This window comes from Homo sapiens, chromosome 16 (genome assembly GCF_000001405.40).
Source record: "Homo sapiens chromosome 16, GRCh38.p14 Primary Assembly".
Taxonomy (NCBI): Eukaryota; Metazoa; Chordata; class Mammalia; order Primates; family Hominidae; genus Homo; species Homo sapiens.
This window is the reverse complement of record NC_000016.10, coordinates 84,817,209-84,838,017: the sequence shown is the minus strand read 5'-3', so window position 1 is coordinate 84,838,017 and position 20,809 is coordinate 84,817,209. Positions and strand designations below refer to the sequence as shown.

Genomic DNA, 20,809 nt, shown 5'->3' with positions numbered 1-20,809 from the left:
TGGACCAACGTTGAGAGCAAACTTCTAGTCCCTGTGAAGTCAGACTCAGTTTACCAATAGTGGTTGACATATGGCTCCTCTTATCACGGCCCTCGCCCCGGGCCCCACCCGCACATCTGTTGCACACTAAGACACAGCTGCCCAGAACCACGTCCAGCCAAGGCCTCAGCCTTTTGTTCCCTCAGAAAACCCTTCATCAGCACCTACACAGGCCGGTCGTTTATGTTATTCTCAATCACCATGGCAACCCAGGAGGTCAGGCTGTTCTCATCCCCATTTTACAGATAAGAAACCTGTGGCTGGCCGGGGGCGGTGGCTCACGCCTGTAATCCCAGCACTTTGGGAGGCCGAGGCGGGCGGATCACAAGGTCAGGAGATCGAGACCATCCTGGCTAACACGATGAAACCCTGTCTCTACTAAAAAATACAAAAAATTACCCGGGCGTGGTGTCACGCGCCTGTAGTCCCAGCTACTTGGGAGGCTGAGGCGGGAGAATGGCGTGAACCCGGGAGGCGGAGCTTGCAGTGAGCCGAGATTGCGCCACTGCACACTAGCCTGGGCGACAGAGCGAGACTCCGTCTCAGAAAAAAAAAAAAAAAAAGCAAGCTATGGCTTAGTGTGGTGACAAGACAAGCCCAGGGCCGGCCTCCTGGTAAGCAGAGATGCTGAAATTCGAAATGATGATTACAAAGACCCAGAGTTTTCCAGCAAGCTACCTTGACTCCTCTGTCCCTGGGGGCCAACTACCTCCCCTCCATTATAGGGTCACGAACCACAGACCTCCTCCTCCTGGCTTGCCATCTGAAAAATGTATGTCATTGGCCCAAGAAGACAAGGAAGGGCTTGAACGAGTGCGTCCACGCACACCCCTCCTCTCTGCTTTCCTCGCAGGGGAGAGTCGGGGCCACCCAGTCACCTCCATCAAGCGCCTTATTTTGTGCTGGACTCCGAGATGGAGACTGGGGATGCGAAGATGAAGAGGACTCTGTCCCTGGCCTCAAGGAGCTCAGTTAGGTCGGGGAGATGGAGGAGGAAACCCGCAGTCCCCACATAGCAGGACAAGGCTGACTCTAAAGACAGTGCCAGGCCCTCGAGGGCCGGAAGAAGCAGCTCTGTCTGGAGGGTTGGGTGGTGGCCGTGCCTCAGGCTGACCCGTCGGAACTCCACGGGGCTCAGTTCTTCACATGAGTCCTCCCTGGTCTTCACCCCCATAGCACCAACCAGGTGTTTACCAGTCAAGTTGGCTGGGACAGTGGCAGTGCAAGGTGGGCATCCTCGGGTGGGGCCGGGGTGGGGAGATGTAGATCAAGGCCTGGAGGGGATAGAGGCCAAGACGGGCATCCCAGGAAGCAGAAACGTTGGCAACAGGCGACAGAGGCTGAGCCAAAGAGCTATGGGAATGCTGTGGTTCCCATTCCCGACCCCTGGAAACTCTCCAGGGTCCTGACTGAGCCTGCGCCTCAGACAAAAATAACCCCATGCGGAGAGGAGAGGCTTGGCTTGCTTTGTAGCAGGGCAGACGGGCTGCCCTCCTCCAAAGCCGAGCCCGGGGCTGCGTGGGGAGGACCTCTGCGTGCTTACTCGTCCCACTGGGAAGCAGACCAAGAATGCAGAACTTCTCAGGATCCCTGATCTCTCTCTCTCAGGTTAGTCACACCACCATATATGAGCATTTCCAGCTGCAGGCGGCCAGGCTCAAAGAAGAGATGCCAGAAAACTCTGACGCTGGGTTGAGGTTGAGAGTGCGGTAATCGGCGTCACGGGGTGTCCTCCTGGTGTCATGACGATGCTCCGCTGATTTGCATGTACATAATGAGATATCTTGGGGATAAGACCCAATCTAAACACAAAATTTGTTGATGTTTGAGATACACCTTATACATGTAGCCTGAAGGTAATTTCATCCAACATGTTAAAATAATTTTGTGCATGGAACAAAGTTTTCACTATGTTTTGACTGCAACCCATCACATGAGGTCAGGTGTGGAATTTTCCACACGTGGCTTCAGGGCAGTGCTCAAAAAGTTTTGGATTTTGAAGCATTTCGGATTTTGGATTGTCAGATCAGGGAGGGCCAACCTGTGCTTAACAAAATAAAACAAAATGCCAAAGTGAGAAAACAGGAGGAGTCAAATGCTGTTTTTAAATGAGTCCTCTGGCACGTCCTCCTGAGCCAGCGTGAGCTATCCCAGGAGATCTGACTGGCCGCCTTTGTTCTGAATGTTAAAGGGACTTCCACAGCTTAGAGGCTGGTCCTTCTCTAAGGATTCCAAAGAGAAGTTATGAAGTCTCAGGTGGAGCTTTAGAGTTGGGAGAACCACGGGGTTTAGTGAAACCTCCACATTGGAAGACAACAGAAGGAAAAGGGGAGAGGAATGGGAGGGTTTCTCCAAGTGCCCTCATGTGCACCACAAAAGCCACCAGCCTGGGAGACACAGGCCTGCCATGCTGGGTGGTGTGCCAGTACTGTTGGGTCTGAAAGTGGTTGGGTTTGACTTCAGCCCAGAGGGCCTGGGGGTGGGTCGGAGGGTCCCTGCTTGGGAGGGGATGAGGCTCCTCCAGATCTGGATGGCTCCTACTACATTTGGGCCGCAGGAGAACACAGCAGATTTTGAGCAGAAAAGTAACCATAGGCCGGGCATGGTGGCCCACACCTGTAATCCCAGCACTTTGGGAGGCCGAGGCAGGTGGATCACCTGAGAAGTTCGACACCAGCCTGGCCAACACGGAGAAACCCCGTCTCTACTAAAAATACAAAATCAGTTGGGCGTGGTGGCGCCTGCCTGTAATCCCAGCTACTTGGCAGGCCGAGGCAGGAGAATTGCTTGAACCTGGGAGGTGGAGGTTGCAGTGAGCCGAGATCATGCCATTGCACTCTAGCCTGGGAGACAAGAGCAAAACTTCACCTCAAAAAAATTAAAAAAAGAAAAGTAACCATAAAAGGGCCAGCACCTCATTCCAGTTTGTACCCCCAGAGCCCAGTGCTGGGTGCACAGGAACAAGCACACAGCTATGGGTTTGAGCTGGTTTTCCCCAAACTCACACACTGGAGCCCTAATGTCCAGGACCTCCAAATGCAATGTATTTGGAGACGGGGCCTTTGCGGAGGTGATTAAGGTAATGTGAGGCCATGAGGTTGGGCCCTAACCAAGCTGACTGGTGTCCTTACTAGAAGAGTTTAGGACCGAGACACGCAGAGGACGACCACATGAGGACACAGGGAGAAGACGCCGTCTGCCAGCCACAGAGAGAGACCCCAGAAGAAACCAGCCCCGCCAGCACCTTGATCTTAGACTTCTGGCCTCCAGAACTGTGGGAATCTAAATTCCTATTGTTGAAGCTTGTGGTACTTTGCTGTAGCCGGCTTAACAGACCAACACACATCAGATAACACATGGCTGGACAGGACTGTTTCCAAATATGCCCCTGGCTATTGTAAAGAGGAGACACGAAGGAGGCAGACAGGCACGTTAGGAGGCCAGGCCAGGGTCCTGGCTGGAACCTGGTTGGTGCCATCTGCCAAAGCCACAAACCAATTGGCCGAGGCCCAGTTCACAGGGGCAGTGCCCGGCAGCCCTGGCCCACACTGCCCATTCTACCCTCACTTCTGAGACAGCTCAGTCGGAACCGGGACCGAAGCACTTCCACCCCTTTTCCATTGACAATGAAAACACACAAACTCTTTCCAAATGGGATGGACCTCCAAGTGGTCCCGGGCTTGCCAACATCAAGAAGGGGCTCACGCCAGCAACCCTCAGGGCGAAGGGGGCCGCCGGGGAAGACCTGCCCTGCGCCCGTCGTGGTGTGAGCGCCTGACCTCCGTGATCTCCTCTCACCCTCCTGACTTTCCAGAGTCTGGGCTCCATCACTCCCACTCTACAGATGAGGAGGCTGAAGTCCATGGAATTTAAGGAACCTGCCCAGGGCGAGCAGCAAGTCTGGAGCCGGAACGCAGCTCTTCTAACCTCGAGGCCCAGGTATGCCCTTGGCTTAGTGCCCTGCTGCCTCCCACGGAGTGGGCTTCCCTCTGGATGTGAAAATCCCAAGCACCCCCACCAACCCATGCAGGGGGAAGGGGGCTCCCAAACCAAACAACCGAATCTTGCCCTAAAGTTCTCTTCCACCCTCTTCTGCCTCCTGGGAAGGCTGCTGGGCTGGGGGAGTCAGGGCACGGGCCTCCCGGGTCACGTGGTGCCTCTGTTGATGAGAAGGCACCAACGTGTCACCCCCATGGGAGACGACGGAGACCCTCGCATCATGGTGACGTTCCACCAACACAAACACGCCCCCCCACCACCATCGGTGCTGCCCACTCGCCTTTGACCCAGATATGATGAGCTGATCTCTGACCTCTGACCTCTGGCAGATGGATGCCCCCTGCAGAGTGCCCTCCTAGCGTCCTGGAAGAGCTCACGCTTTGGTGGCTGCCCCGAGTGCACTTCGGTACCCAGGGTGTGAGGCTCCCACTCTAACTCTGCTCTTCTACCCCTGATGCTCCCAGGCAGGGCCGGGTGCATGCGCCACTCCTAGAGAGATGCCCCTGCATCCTGTCCACTCAGCCACTCATTGATAATGAAATATCACTAGGGACCGCGGGACAACACAGCAGAAATGCTCTCTAGAAGATTTTGTTCTCTTTTGCCAGAGTTGCAAAACTGAGCCCATAAGACCACAAGTAAGATAACGGCTCCGAGACCTCATGAAAACACACCAGATTTCAGCACACAGCAGAGGCTGGGAGGGGAACGGACAGAGCTTTCAGGTCCCAGGGTCAATGGTGAGACCCACAGCTGGCGAATCAAAGCGACGGGAGCCACACTTCTCCCGCGCTGCCCAGAGCTTTGAGATGCATTTGGACTCTAGCAGGGAGGCAGCTGTTTTCAGCCCCATTTTACAGAAAGTGCAACTGAGTCCAGGAGACTGGCATTTAGGAGACTGTGTGGCTAGTTTAAAGTGAAACCAAGACTTGAACTCAAACTTGCCAAAAGTTTGGAGGACTTTCAACACAGCTTGTTTGCACTATGAGCTCTCCAACCGCACCCCTCTACCCTGGCCGAGGCTTTGTGGACATTTAGGGGATCACCAAACCATGTGTCCAAGTTTAGCGAGGGGTCTCCCTGATGGTTATCTCTTGGGCGCCATCGTACTCAACACTCAGAAGTGAGTGAGGGAGAAGGAGCTGGGCTGAAGCTCATTGCGTCATTGGCCTGGGCTGCAAGTGCCTTGTGTTTAGGAGAATCTGCCAGAAAGATGAATCTCGGGACTTAGCCTGTCAGCCGTCAGCTCCCAGCCTGTGCCAAGCTCCCTGCTTTTGCACATGCTGTTCCCACAGCTCATCCCATGACCCCGACATGCCCCGCTTCACTGGCCCAGGCCAGGGAGATGAATTCCTGCTCATTGCTAAGACTCAGCCCGAGGAGCACGGCTTCCTAGAAACCTCCAGTGTAATCACACCGCAGACCTGCGGGTCTCGTTCACCGCCGAAGCGTCGATGTCTAAGTCAGTGTTTGATAAATATTTACGGGATGACTCTGTGGCCCCCTCCTGCTCCCAGCTAGATCAGAAAAGCCATATAAGGACTACGTCTGATTTGGGCTGCTTCTTTACTGACTGCAGCATGGGCTGTCGGGGAAGAGAGACCTGGGTTCAATTCTTGACCTTGCCCCTCACTGGCCCTTGGCCTTGCCCAAGCCTGTGTCATCTTGGACACAGCACCGAGCTTCTTGAGTTCACGTCTGTGGGTGGAGGGGAGTGACAGGCCCTACGGCTGTGAGGAAGGAAAAAGGTCCTGAACTTCAGTCCCCAGTCAGTGCACTGCCTGTTATAATAAGGAGGCTGTGCCAGAGCCTCCAAAAATGCATCGTTTGAAGGGATTTTAGAAGGCTGGAGTGAATAATGTGGAATGCTATGAACAGACAATTCTCTCTTCATATTATTTCAAAGCCCACGTTTACCTTAACAAAATCCAATGTTTAAAAATCCGGCTGGACATGGCGGCTCACGCCTGCAATCCCAGAACGTTGGGAGGCCAAGGTGGGTGGATCACCTGAGGTCAGGAGATCAAGAGCAGCCTGGCCAATGTGGTGAAACCCCATCTTTACTAAAAGTACAAACCTTAGCCAGGTGTGGTGGTGCGTGTCTGTAGTTCCAGCTACTCAGGAGGCTGAGGCAGGAAAATCACTTGAATCTGGGAGGTGGAGGTTGCAGTGAGCCGAGATCGTGCCTCTGCACTCCCGCCTGGGTGACACGGCAAGACTCAAAAAATAAAAAATTTGAAAATTTAAAAATTAAAAAAAATAAAAATCCTATTAGGCCAGGTGCGGTGACTCACATCTATAATCCCAGCACTTTGGGATGTTGAGCTGGGAGGATCGCTTGAGCTCAGGAGTTTGAGACCAGCCTGGGAAACATGGTGAGCTCCTGTCTCTACTAAAAATAATAATAATAAAAAAATTAGCCAAGCACGGTGCCACATGCCTGTAGTCCCAGCTACTCGTGGAGGGGCTGAGACGGGAGGATCGCTTGAGCCTGGGAGATGCAGACTGTAGATCGTGCTACTGCTTTCCAGCCTGGGCGACTCTATCTCAAAAGAAAAAAGGAAAAAAAATCTGTTAAATGTCCAATGCTTGGGGGATGGCAGGGGGACCCTCTACTGAATTTGAAACGTATATTAGCTCTGTATATACCTTGAGCATTGGCCATTTTTCCCCAGATGTCCAAGATGTCATGTGCCAGGTCTGGGGGATTCATGTCACCACCTGGCCAGGTGCCACCCATGCAAATGTATTTGGTGATTCACACCGAGGTTATCCTGTCAGATGTCATTTTCTGTCATGGAGCTCTGTCCTCTTCCATGGCTGCGTCTCAGCTGAGTTGACAGGCCCATGGGCACCCCCGGCCCTGGGCTCCCCACCCAGGATTGCAGCCGCTCTGACTCTCAGCCTCCCTCCCTGGACCCCGAGCTTCTCAAGGGCCGGAACAGTGGTGGGATGGTAAATCGTTCACCACCAGCTTCCAAAACAAAAACCAAGCAAAAACCAGCCTGCCTTGCGGTGTTTGCCAATTCCCTTGGTGTAAATACTCCCACCATGGCCAACTTCAAGCAACCAGTGTGAAGTCACCGAGCATGGAGTTTCTGGAAAGAGATCCCCAGAAGCACACGGTCACGCAGCCTTTCCATCACGCAGATCCCATAGACACTGATAATCTCAAGAGCAGAGGCCACAGTAAAATGCAGGAAAAAAGTCAAAAGTGATAGGTTTTAAGTATTTATTACCTTCTTTTTAAATATGACTTTTTTTTTTTTTTAAGACAGAGTCTCACTCTGTAGCCCAGGCTGAGGCTAGAGTGCAATAGCATGATCTCAGCTCACTGCAACCTCCACCGCCTGGGTTCAAGCAATTCTCCTGTCTCAACCTCCGGAGTAGCTGGGACTAGAGGTGCATGCCACCACGCCTGGCTAATTTTTGTATTTTTAGTAGAGACAGGGTTTCCCATATTGGTCAGGCTGGTCTTGAACTCCTGACCTCAGGCAATCCACCCGCCTCGGCCTCCCAAAGTGCCAAGATTACAGGCGTGAGCCACCATGCCCGGAATATAACTTAACTGTAAGTTTTTATAATCTAACGTTTAATGCTGGTTGTGTTGAACTGGTTCGCAATCCATTTTTTACTGAATTTTATTTATTTATTTGTTTTGAGGCAGGGTCTCACTATTACCCAGGCTAGAGTGCAGTGGTGCAATCATGTCTCACTGCAGCCTCAACCTCCCAGGCTCAAATGATCCTCCCACCTCAGCCTCCCAAGTTGCTGGGACTACAGGTGTGCAACACCAGGCACAGCTAATTTTGTATTTATAGTAGAAAAGGGGTTTCACTATGTTGCCCAGGCCACCCTCGAACTCCCGAGCTTAAGTGATCCTCCCACCTCAGCCTCCCAAAGTGTTGGGATTACAGGTGTGAGCCACTACGCTGGCCCTGAAAATGTAACTATCAGCTCTCAAGAGCTGGTATGAGCCAGTCCAAGCTGGCTGCAGTTCACCATTGGCCAGCACTGAGCCTTGTTCAATCAACTTTATGCCCCCAGCAAATGTTCATCACCAAACCCACGCCAACGTGGGATGAGGAAGGGGCTGCCGCAGGCGTGGCCTGGGCCCTCTACTCCTGCACTGAACATTTCATGTGGTCCACAAACTGATGAGGCCACTGTGACAATAGCCCTATTTTACAGACGATGAAACTGAGGCTTAAAAAAGATAAGCAACTTGCCTGTGGTCACACATAAGGCCTGAGGACAATGTCGATTCATTCACTACGCCCTGGTCACTTACCAGTCCTGGGTCGTCCACGCAGCGACTCTCTTAAACATCAGGGCAGTTCTGACCTGTGGCCCTGCACCACTCAGCTGAGACCCATGGTCCACAGGAGAGCAGCTGACCCCAGAAGCCTGGGGGTCGGGGTGTTCTCTAGGCTCTACCCTTCCTCACAAGTATCAAAGGAGAACTCAGATCTGAGCAAGAGGCCAAGGGCAGATCAGAGTCATACCCACAAACCACCCAGAAATTCCAGGAATGAAGCAGTGGCTGGAAGGAGGGGTACTCCACTCCCCCCGTTTGTGTCTCTGGCAGATCCCTTGACTGAGCAGAACATCCCGTTAGAGCGCCTGGGTAAGCACCACGCAGTGAGTGGGGGCCCTTTCTCCCCTACTCACTGCAGCCTGGCAGTTTTCCTTAAACCCTTCTTGGCAGGATTGAAGCCAGACCCAAGGGAGGCCACAGTCCAGCTCCAGCTCCTTCCCTAGCTGCTGCCTGCACTGTGCTGAATTCCCCATCTCCCCAGGACAGCCAACAGTCCACTCAGCTTAAAGGCGACACCAGCCCCACAAGGCACCTTCTCTCCTCCTGTCACCTCAACAAAAGATAATATTCTTTTTTTTTTTCCTTTTTGAGACGGAGTCTTGTTCTGTCCCCAGGATGGAGTGCAGTGGTAAGATCTCAGCTCACTGGAACCTCTGCCTCCTGGGTTTAAGCGATTCTTCTGCCTTAGCCTCCCGAGTAGCTGGGACTACAGGCACGCACCACCACGTCCAGCTAATTAACAAAAGATATATTCTTATGGGATTTCTGAGTCAATATGTCTGGATGCTTAATTGAGCAAAAAATCTATACAATGCTTTTCATTGTTTACATACTATGCTAAGCATATACAAAATTCTGGACAAAAAGAAAATAGTCATTCAACAAACTCTTATTTAATGCACTATGTGAAAAAAAAAGAACTGAAAAGCAGGTGCATTCGATGCAAGCCAAGGTGATATATAAGAAAAGTCACTTTTAAGGGACCAGGTAATAAATTAATACATTCTTTAAAACCCCAGGACATAACTCCTGGGGCACCTTTCTCCCTTCTTGAAGACGTGTGGTTGTTTCCCTGGAAACAATGTTCCCAGCAAAGCTTTAAAAGATAAACAGCAGGAGCCCTCCCTCTCCGAAGGGAAAGGAATTACGGACTCCCAGAAGGCAATGAGGAAAGGCATAGAGAAGAATGGGCAGCTCTGGGTTCGAATTCTGCCGCCACTGCATGGAGCTGGGCATGCCTCAACTTCCTCAAGCCTCTAATTCCTCACTCATGCATGAGGCCCTGAGTTTCTTCCATGGCTAGGGGAGGAAGGGTGCTATGACTACCCAGGATCATGTTTATAAAGGGCCCAGTGACAGAATCCCAGGAACTTAATGGTGTTTAATGATGTTTCTTTCCCTTCTCCTCCTGAGTAAATTCAGGGCCCCAGGTCATCTCTGTGCTGGGCTCCAGGGCTGGCAGCCCGGGCCAGTCTCCCTGCCTGAGAAGCGTGATTCACTGACAGGTGGCATCCGCGAAGATGAGTCGAGAGCTGGCTGCGGAACCTCCATAGCACTCTGCAGGTGAAAATCCCAGGAGTCCTTGGGATCTGCAAGTGAAAAAGACCGAATCTGCCCTCGGGACTGGGAGGAGACAGAGAGTAAACAAACGGGCAGCGGACAGGTAAATACCGAAGGTGTGAGCAGGACATCCCGGACACACGGATGGCGAAGATGAACAGAGGAGGGGGGCAGAACCACTCTGGTTGGGGTAGACGGCAAGGTCCTGCTGAGCTCTTAAAGAAAGGGCACTGTAGGCCCGGTGCGGCGGCTCGCACCTGTAATCCCAGCACTTTGGGAGGCTGAGAAGGGCAGATCACCTGAGGTCAGGAGTTCGAGACCAGCCTGGCCAACATGGTGAAACCCTGTCTCTACTAAAAATACAAGAATTAGCTGGGCGTGGTGGCACATGCCTGTAGTCCCAGCTACTTGGGAGGCTGAGGCAAGAGAATCGCTTGAATCCGGGAGGTGAAGGTTGCAAAGAGCTGAGATCGCACCACTGCAGTCCAGCCTGAGCAACAGAGTGAGACTCCTTCTCAGAAAAAAGAAAAAAAAAAAAAAAAAGAAAGGGCACTGCAGGCAGCAGGAAGGGCAAGGACAAAGGCTCAGAAGGGGTCACAGTCGAGGCGTGACCGTGACCGAGGACAGGCGAAAAGCCCATGAAGCTGGGGAGGAATGGGGTCAGGAGGCAGCCAGGGCCAGGTGGTGAGCAGCCTTGAAGGCCACGGTGAGGACTCTTGGTTTTGCTCTAAATGCAAAGAGGGCCCTCGAGGGAGGGAAGTCGGGCGGTGACAGGGTCTGGTTTGTGTCGCAAAAGCCTTGCAACACACAACAGCACAGACAAACCCCGCAGACACGGTGCTCAACCAACAGAAGGGGCCAGACTCCGGGGATTCAACACGCATGGTTTCATTTAAGTCAAGTCCAAACCAGGCAAACCCAGCCTGTGCCCTTAGAAGTCCGGAAATGACTACCTTGGGGGGTGCGGGGGCAGTGAGAGGGGCCTGGGGGGCTTCTGGGGGCCGGCCAGGCTCTGCTGTGACCGGGGCTACGGCGCTTTGTGAAAATCTCTCTGCCGGTACAGAGACGGCTGTGCCCTCTTCCCTGGTATGTTAAGCATCAACAAGAAATTATAAAAAAAAAAAATTTGATGTTGCTCTGACCTCTGTTTGAAGACTGGATTAAGAGGGCAGGAGTGGTCCAAGGAGAGAGCACACCATTATGCAAGAGAAAATCCCGGGGCCTTTCCCTCAGGAGTCTCAGAGCTGAAACAGGCCTGGGGCCCCGGCTCAGCAGCCTTCAAAGTGAACTGCGATGTGTCAGGCCCCAGATAAAGTCCAGCTGGCGGTGGGGCCTCCCCCTTGGACCCGCACACGACTCTCCTAGACAGGGCCCAGTTCATCCCAAGTCTGAGAGAGCACTTTGTCCTGCGATGCCAAGGCCCAGCTGAAAATACCTTCTCAGTCCCAGGGCAGCCCCAGCCTCGCAGGTCCCGGGGAATAAACCGTGTCTTCCCTCCCGGGGCGAACGGACTGGCTGTGTGGGCAGCAGGCCTGGGGCAGGAGGGAGAGATGGCAGGGAAGATGGACACACATCATAGAGGTGTCTTCAATGCCCTTGAGGAAACAGCTCACCCCTTCAGGGGTTATAAGTAAATGTGCGTAGCTGGCTCTTCCCAGGCACATAGGGGCATGAAACGTGCTCTGAAGGAGGGTGCCAGCATCCTCAGGACACTGACTCAGGCCCTGGAGCATCAGGGCGTCACAGCTTCAGCACAAAGTGCCAAAGGGCTGAGTGTTCTTCTGGAAGAAAGCCTTCCAAATATGCCAACAACTTGTTCTTAAGGGGCCTTCCTGATTTTGGAGGGAGGTGGTCTTTCAGCTCCCAGGTCACTCGTGACTTCTTTCTGGTCACACCAGGCCCTATAACCAGAACCGTCCACACAGCTCCACGCTGACCCCAGTAGCCAGCCCTCCATGCCCCACCTTTGTGCCAGGGCCCCAGGGCAAGCCTTCTTTAGCTTTCTAGGATAACAGGATGCTTTGTTACAACAGACTGCCAGCCCCACCCCACAGCTTCTGATCCAGGTCTCCAGGGAAGCCTGAAAACCTGCATTTCTATGAGTCCTCAGGTGCTTCCAGGCCAGGAACCCACTTTTTTTTTTTTGAGACAGGGTCTCACTCTGTTGTTCAGGTTGGAGTGCCGTGGCGTGAACACTGCTCACTGCAGCCTCAGCCTCCTGGGCTCAAGTCTTCTACCTCCCAAGAAGCTGGAATTACAGGTGTGCCCTACCACGGCTGGCTAATTTTTTTTCTTCTTTTATTTTATGTATTTATGTATTTATTTTTATTTATTTATTTATTTATTTGAGATGGAGTCTCGCTCTGTCACCCAGGCTGGAGTGCAGTGTGTGATCTTGGCTCACTGCAGCCTCTGCCTCCCAGGCTCAAGCGGTTCTCCTCCCTCAGCCTCCCAAGTAGCTGGGATTACAGGCGTGCACCACCACGCCTAGCTAATTTTTGTATTTCCAGTAGAAACAAGGTTTTGCCATGTTAGCCAGGCTGGTCTCGAACTCCTGACCTCAAGTGATCTGCCCACCTTGGCCTCCCAAAGTGCTGAGACTATAGGTGTACGCCACTGCGCTGGGCCTTTCTTCCTTTATTTTAGAAACATGGAGAGGACAAGACACACTGAGAGGACACCAGCTAATTTTTAAATTTTTTGTAGAGACAGCATCTCACTATGTTGCACAAGCTGGACTCGAACTCCTGGGCTCAGGCAATCCTCCCGCCTAGACCTCCCAAAGTGTTAAGGTTACAGGCATGAGCCACGGCGCCTGGCTGCTGGCCCCCACTCTGAGAAGCACTTCTCTAAATTATAACAGCCTCTCAGTTCTCCTTCTTCCCCGACCTTGATCCAGCATTTCCCAAACCCTGTCCTTTGAATATCCCCCTTCCCAAGTTTTGCCCACCTTCCTACTGTGTACTGGTACCAGTACATATTTTGTTTTTGTTTTGAAATGGCATCTCGCTCCGTCACCCAGGCTGGAGTGCAGTGGTGGCGTGATCTCGGCTCACTGCAACCTCCGCCTCCCGGGTTCAAGCAATTCTTCTGTCTCAGCCTCCCGAGTAGCTGGGACTACAGGTGCCTGCCACCACGCCCGGCTAATTTTTGTATTTTTAGTAGAGATGGGGTTTCACCTTGTTGGTCAGGCTGGTCTCAAACTCCTGACCTCAGGTGATCCACCGTCTCAGCCTCCCAAAGTGCTGGGATGACAGGCATGAGCCACCGCGCCTGGCCCCATATTTTGTATTTTTATTTAACTTGGCTTGTTTTTTGCGTTCCAAGAAATTTACTTTAAAAAGGTAACTTTCTATCACTCCCACTGGCAGAGAACCTGATCACTGGTGCCGTGAACAGACGGCAGGAGTGAAATTAAACACAGTAAAAACAACAGTTACTTCCTCCCAGCCAGGCACTGACACCAACCAAAGGCTTTGTTGTAGAGGATGCTTGCTCTTTGTTGTAAAAGGAGATCAGGGTGTGGGAGAGGTGATAGGGACAATTCCACCTGTGACTTTCACCTTGCCATAAGCAGAAGGACCGGAAGAACAGAGAATGGAAAGAACAGAGAATGGAAAGAACAGCTCTTGGACTGGGGGGATTTGCTGCTGGATCTGTGCCCGTGCTCAGTCACCTTGGGGACCCCTAGGTATTGGCTCTGCACACTTTGGAGGACACAGTTCATTCTAGAGTGAGCTGTTCTCAAGTTCTCAGTGCCACCGTGTTACTCTCTGTTCATCTTGATGGTGCCCACTAAGTGGTACAGCTCATCACAACACCTGCAGGACAGACCTTTGCTGCCCTGAGCCTGGCTCGTAGACTACAGGCACACCAAACTTCCTGCCATTCTCCAAGAGTCCCAGGCCCTTCTCCACCTGCAGGCCTTTGCACACACACGGTGCCTCTGCCTGGGGCACCCTCGCCAGCTCCCCACCCACCCACTATCATCTTCCCCTGCTCGCAAAACCCTGCCTGTTTCCTCTAGGCGTTATCAGGCTCTTCTCAAGTCAGTCTCAGAAGATGCCAGCTCCATGCCAGCTCCCAGTCCTTAGAGGGGTCCAGTTGAGTCTTTTCCCTATTCAAAAAATATTTGGGGTAGGGTCAGTTCCAGCTCACTTGATTACAAGCAAAATGGGAGCATGACTTTTTTTCCTGGGATGTTGCCATTCTGTGCTCAAAATAAAACACGTTCCAGAAATTGGGATTGAAAATGTGGGATTTCATAATTTATAATTTTTAAAAAATGATGGTCCGGAAATTGCACAATCCTCATCAGGACGTTTTTTTTCCCTCTGACTCTGTGGTTTTTGTCTTAGCTGATGCAGCACTCAAGACAATCAAAGATAAATCTCCCTCGGGCTGGACCATGATGTCCTCGCAGCCTTGCAAGAGGGGTCTTTGTCCAAGAGTACTCGTCATTGTACAGCCTGGGGTAGAAGGCAGGGCTCCCCCAGGGCGATGTCTCAGGATTCCCTGCCTGCTGCTGCTGTGACCCAGGTGGCACGCCAACACTGCCCACAAATGCCAAATGCCAGGGCTTCCCTGCACCCATGGAGAAGGCCAGCAACACATTCTGGAATGACATGACCTGAGTTGATGCTTCAAGAAGGAACTCAAAAAAGAGGCCACAGTCTCCTCAATAAGTTAAACATAAAGTTACCATATGACCCAGCAATTCCCTCCCAGGTAAACACTCAAGAGATATGAAAACATCCGCCCTCAAAAAACCTTGTACACAAATGTTCACAGCAGAAGCCTCTGTAAAAGCCAAAGGTGGAAACAGCCCAGATTTCCTTCAGTGGAAGAATGAATAAACAAAACGTGGTCTATTAATGCAATGGAATATTACTCAGCCATAAAAAAGGAACGAAGGTCTCATACACATTACAACATGGATGAACCTTGAAAACATGATGCTGAGTGAGAGGAGCCAGACACAAAAGGCCACACATTGTGTGGTTCCATTTACATGAAATGTCCAGAATAAGCAAGTTCGTAGAGACAGAAAGGAGATGAGCGGCTGAAGGGAGGAGAATGGCGAATGATGCCTAATGGGCCTGGGGTTTCCTTACGAGATGATGAAACGCTCTGGAATTAGTGGTGGTGGCTGCACAATACTTCCAATGTACTAAACGCCACTGAATTGTACACTTCAAAATGGGTTAAATGGTAAATTTTATGTTTATGTGTATTTTTACCACAATACATCTTTTCAGGAAAAAGAAAAACAGAACATGGCCCATCCTATTAACCACCACCCAGATCTACCTGTCCCTTGCCTGTCCCAGAACTCAGCGTGCTCTATTTAAGACTTTACAACGTGCTTTAGGTCCCTGTCCCTGGAAGGTCTGAGCATCTGTTCCACTCAATGAACTGAAGACGAAGTGAAATATGCCCAGATTGAATTTTCCTTTCCTGACAAGCCGTCAGCCCGTTTGAGTGATCCTGGGTTTGCACATCTGGGACTGATCAAAAACCAGTGCGTTTGCAAAAGAAGAAAAAAGAAAAAGAAAGAAAAAGCCTCCTGAGTCTGGCGCAGGCAGACATGCAGACACCTCCCACACACAGCAAATGACGCTGGTGACAGAGGAAAGAAAAGTTCCAGTTCCCACAGGCCAAAGAGGTCAGTGCCCTGCCTCCAAAAACTTTCTGACCTCCAAAGACGTCAGAGGGTCCTGCCTCCAAAAACTTTCAAATGCAACTTACAAAGGGCCACATACTTAATTTGTGGTCTTTTGAGGGATGAAGTGCAGAGGTTTTAAGAGACCTCGCAGTCTTCTTCCCTAGCTCAGGCCTTCCCAGTCAAACCAACTCTCCTCTCCAGGACAGAGGCAGGACTCAGAACCAGCACTGATTTGGGTCCTGGGACGGGGCTCTCAGTACCTGTCAGCAATGTTGAGCCCAAGCCCAGGGTCAGTTGATCCCCTCCCAGCCTCACCCCAACAGGGACCAGGGACCCAGATCCCTGCCAACGTTAAAAAAACTCCCACATGGCACAGAAAGCCTCAACTAGCAGCAAGCTCTGCTGGGACAGTCATGTGGCTGGTCATTAGATGGGCACCTTCCCCCAGAATCTGGGGCAGGGCCCAGCCTGGACGGCAGCTCTACCCCGCCCTGGCTGTGTCATGTTGGGCACACACCTTAATAATTCTGAGCCTCAACTAACTCCTTGTAAAAAGTGCCCAGCTAATAGAGCAGGCAGTGAGCTCATCCGTGGAAACCCTGGGCATGTCTGGTCTGTACTAAGCATCATGTAAATGTCAGCTGCTTGTATTATTACAAATGGCATTATTACTATTCCTACTCTCACATCTTAAGAAACTCTGAAAAAATCAAAATCACCCTCTTGGTTTCTCCTCCCTGGGTACATTGTCCAGTGGTTTTAACTGGAGCCCCTGTAAGACAAAACATCACCTGTGTGAAGGTCAGGTTCATGGGTGGAGTTGGCAGTGGGCAGGGAAGTGTCTTAAAGAAAGCAGGGTCAAGAGTGCAGATAGGACCCACCTGGGGGTGACAGCATTCCATACCAGCTGGGGGATCTTAGGCAAGCACTTCACCTTGCTGAGCCTCAGTTTCCTCAGCTGTGAAGTGGGCATCAAGAGGCCTACTCCCCGGGGTGTTGCAGCGATGACAATACAGGTAAACTGCGTGGCACAGACCGCGTGCCTGCCGCACAGGCAACACAGTCACACACCCACCCCTTCTCCTGAGTGGGAACAGCCAGATCAGGGGCAGAAGCAGAAAATCAGGTGCATACAACCCAAGGAGCCCTGGGACAGCCGACAGTCACAACTCATGGCCTCAGTCTACTGGAAAGGACCACGCCCCGGTCCTGTTCTGCAGGCTCTCCTCACTGTCAGACATCAGACCCTGGATGGGGAAAGCAGGCTCACCCCATTCTACCAGGGCAAGAGGTCCAAAGGCCCAAAGGGGAAACTCACAACCCCACTCTCGGTTGCAAGGCAAGCTAGGCATTTGCACGGGATGCTTCTCTCAGCCAGGGCAGCAACTCACATTTTGGCTGAGAGACGCCCAATTCAAGTTGGACTGCGATGAGCAGGCATCAGCGAAGTCCTCCCTGGCTTGTCCACCAGCCCAGCCTTAGCAAGGGAGGCTCTGGGTCTGCAGCACATGAGGGACTAGCCCTGGCTCTGTCCACGTGGGACGACCGATCTCCCCCACACTCCAGAGTGAGCCCTCCGCTTCCAGGGTAACTCTCCCCACGCAGGAGTTATGCAGGTGCCCGCTCTGGCTAAAGAAACCCAGAAACGTGTTCCCCCAGACTGCAGAACCCTGACATGGCCCCAAGTCTCTACACATCCATTTGAAGCTCTGGAGACAGACAGAGCTGGGTTCCAGCCCTGGCTCTGCCCGGACAACTTACTTCACCTCTCTGACCCTCAGCATCTTCATCTGAAATGTGGGAAGAAGGCTACCTTGCAAATGAAATCACAGAGGGGCGTGGCCCTCTAAACTGCAGCTGAATGCACATGCCACTAGATCACCCTGGTCCTCCAGACATGAGTAGGACACATTCTAATGCCTGCCATATCCATGCCATCAGCTTTCCAGTTATTGACACCCACTACGAACACAGGAATGCAACAAATGCTAGTGAACTGCACGAGGAAGGCAAGAGAGTAAACAGCCTCTAAGGAGCAGGATTCTGCGCTCAGATCGGCGTTGAATCCTGGGTCCTTGGAGTCCTGGCTGCGAGGTCCTGGACAAATGAGTTGTCCTCGCTGAGCCTCAGTTTCTCCATCTGCAAAAGGGCATGTCGCAAAGCTGTGTTCCGCTATGCAAGCAGAGCACTCGGTGTGGTGCCAGCACACAGTCAGCCCTGCGAGGTGGCATCTGTCCTAGTTATTCCAGCTTCTCGGGGGGGTAACAGTTTGCAAAAGGGAGAAGCATGGAAATCACACTTACCTCCGCAGGGCTCCAATCACCAGCTCGCTGGCGTCTCCCGCGTCCAGCAGACGCGGTAGCAGCGGCGACAGCGCGGGCACAGCAGGCACAGCGGGCACAGCGAGCAGACAGCTCAATAGGAGCAGCCGGAGACGCCCTGGGATGCGAGTGGGTGCCGGGGCTCAGCGTACCGCCTCTTGTAGGCTCCCCGGAGCCCGGAGGCCACGCCCCCAGATCGCTGGCGGCGCTGGTAGGACCGAGCATCACCGGCCCCGCCCCCGGCCCCGCCCCGCAGGCTCAGCGGGCTGAAGGAGGCGGGGGGCAGCTGAGGCGCGGGCGCCGGGTGGGCGAGGAAGGCGGGGCCGCTGGCCTCCAGGGCCGGCTAGGGACAAGGAGACGCTCAGCTCCCTCGCCACTGGCCACACAAGCATAGTTTTCATTGAGCGCTTACTATGCGCCTGGCGCGGTGCCAAGCGCTTCCCACAAGGGGCTTGCAAATTTACCAAACCCCAGCTCTCTGCAGCTCAACTGGAAAATAGGAATAAGGAGGCGACCTCCCAGGATTTTAGCAAATGAAATCCGCAAGGGCTGGGCGCTGTGAACTGTGGCGCGGTGCAGAGTACACAGTTACTGAGGTGACTCCCACCCTCTACACGTGCTCAGAAAACTTAGGCCCCCTCTTCCCAATTTGCAGACGAAGAAAGGGAGACTTGTTTCCGGATGGGGCCGCTAGCGCGGGGATCCAGGCTCCGCACTTTACCTTCAACGACCCTAGGACGCGTTCCCAGGAATCCAGGGAGGTGGAAATCACCTCATTTCACAGATCCAGTAGCTGAGGCTTGGAGAAGAGCGTGCCCCAAGTCCCGTAGCTAGGAGCAGTGCAGCATGTTCATATCTCTTTTGCCCGGAGGCATTTAGCATTTTTAACCTGTGCAGGTACATACGGAAATCAATTTAGAGCCAGACGAAATCACCTTTGAAACAGGTAAATCCACGTTCCTTAAGAGCTAAGGGACTGCCCCGTGCTCCCGCCTCAGTCACAAAATGTGGACGGGTATGCAGGCACTGCGCGGTAAGGTGCTGGGGCCCAAGGGCAGGAGGGGGCCTGTCCGCACTGCTCATCTCCGCACCAAGACACCGGAATTAGCTCCTCCAGCATTAACTCATTCCCCAAATACCCATCGAGTCGCTCTGTGCCGGGCCCTGTGCTATACAGCAGGCACAAACAAGACACCTCCGGGATCTCAGAGTCTGGGGCCCCCACGAGCTAGGGCACGTGGGAGAAACAAGGATGGGGAATGGGTGGAACAAGGACTATGGAAGGCTGCCTGCGTGACGTGGACTCAAACAGGGAAGGCTTGCCTAAGATTTTGGTGCGGCTCAAATGCAGATACAGAATAATGCAGACTGGCCGGGCGCGGTGGCTCACACCTGTAATCCCAGCACTGTGGGAGTTTGAGGCGGGCGGATCACCTGAGATCAGGAGTTCGAAACCATCCCGGCCAACATGGTGACACTGTCTCTACTAAAAATACAAAAATTAGCCGGGCATGGTGGTGCATGCCTGTAGTCCCAGCTACTTGGGAGGCTGAGGCAGGAGAATCGCTCGAACCTGAGAGGCAGAGGTTGCAGTGAGCTGAGATGGCGCCATTGCACTCTAGCCTAGGAGACAAGAACAAAACTCCATCTCAAAAAGATAATAATAATGCAGATGTTTTCTGTTATCTTTTTTTCCTCTTTTTGTTTTACTTTTCTCAGTCTTTGAAGCATCATTCTTCAGAGGCACTCAACTGGCATGCAGTCATCCAATAATTAAGCACCTACTATGTGCTGGGCTCTGTTTCAAGCACTGGAGGGCTCAGTAGTGAATAAGACTGTTCCAGAACAACAGTCCTTGGATTGACAAAAGACAAATCCAAGGGGAGAAGAGATCTGTGTTAGCAGATGCCTTTGGAGGCCTGGCACGATGGCTCAGGCCTGTAATCCCAGCACTTTGGGAGGCCCAGGCAGGTGGCTTGAGTTCAGGACCAGCCTGCAACATGATGAAATCCAGTTGCTACAAAAAGTAGCCAGCATGGTGGCATATGCCTGTGGTTCCAGCCACTCAGGAGGCTGAGGTGGGAGGATTGCCTGAGCCTGGGAGGTGGAGGTTGCAGTGAGCTGAAATCGAGCCACTGCATCCCAGCCTGGGTGACAGAGCAAGACCCTATTTCAAAACAAAACCAACCAACCAAACAAACAAACAACAACAAAACAGATGCCTCTGAGTACCTGACCCCAAAGCATTATACTGCCAAATCCTGCCACCCCCAACAACCCTCCAGGCTGGTCCTGTTATTAGCCTCATTTTTTCAATGATGGAACTGAGCACAGAGAGTGTAAGTCACTTCCCTGAGGCCACACAGCCTCTGAATAGAAGAGCCAGGATTTGAATTCACACTCTCACCCACGTGGCTGCCATTGCCTGTGACCATGAAACCTTGGGTGCAGGGGAATGGAATGAACTGGGTCCCTACTCCATCCCCACTCCAGCAAAGAGGAAGGAAAGCTACACGGAATCAGCCTCTACATAGGCCCAGCAGGTGGAACGGGGGTTGGCAGTTGTCAATAGTGAAATGTTTGCCACTTTGCTAATCCAACCCTCATCTCCTTACAGATCCTTTGTATGGCAACCCTGTAGGCTCCTCACCGGCCCAAGTTGGCTTTGGGGAGACCCAGCCCAGCCCAGACGCTCCAAGGACCCCATTGGCAGAGCTGCAACCAGAGACCACTGCTCTGCAAGCCACGATTGCTGTCCGGGCAGTCTCACCCACGGGGCAGACTGAATCCTTAGCTTGCTGGTTTGTGTCATCATCCGGCATCAGGCTCAGTTCAAATCCCAGCTCCTCCACTTCCAAGTTGTTGGCCTTGAGCAAGTCACTTAATGTCGCTGCGTTCCATGCCCCA

The 20,809-nt window shown here is 52.6% G+C and overlaps 1 protein-coding gene across 2 annotated transcripts in view, besides 2 other annotated features; it reads right to left on the bottom strand.

Moving 5' to 3' along the window:
• Window positions 1–18,033, bottom strand: part of CRISPLD2 (cysteine rich secretory protein LCCL domain containing 2) — an 89,524-nt gene extending 71,491 nt beyond the window's left edge. The window contains exons 1-2 of one of the 2 annotated variants that reach the window (XM_005256190.2): window positions 17,885–18,033; window positions 1,583–1,841 (exon numbers count right to left, since the gene is read on the bottom strand). The gene's annotated coding sequence lies outside the window, so the exon portion shown is untranslated. The remainder of the gene's footprint in view (window positions 1–1,582; window positions 1,842–17,884) is intronic. The other variant, NM_031476.4, reaches the window with a different exon arrangement.
• Window positions 1,278–1,846: an enhancer, noted in NCBI's record as "H3K4me1 hESC enhancer chr16:84869778-84870346 (GRCh37/hg19 assembly coordinates)". NCBI's record gives its function as "activates a minimal SCP1, AML or CMV promoter by ChIP-STARR-seq in primed H9 embryonic stem cells {active_cell/tissue: H9 hESC(primed)}" and the evidence as "EXISTENCE:reporter gene assay evidence [ECO:0000049][PMID:30033119]".
• Window positions 18,071–18,260: a silencer, noted in NCBI's record as "silent region_7795". NCBI's record gives its function as "represses an Ori minimal core promoter by ATAC-STARR-seq in GM12878 lymphoblastoid cells {active_cell/tissue: GM12878}" and the evidence as "EXISTENCE:reporter gene assay evidence [ECO:0000049][PMID:35858748]".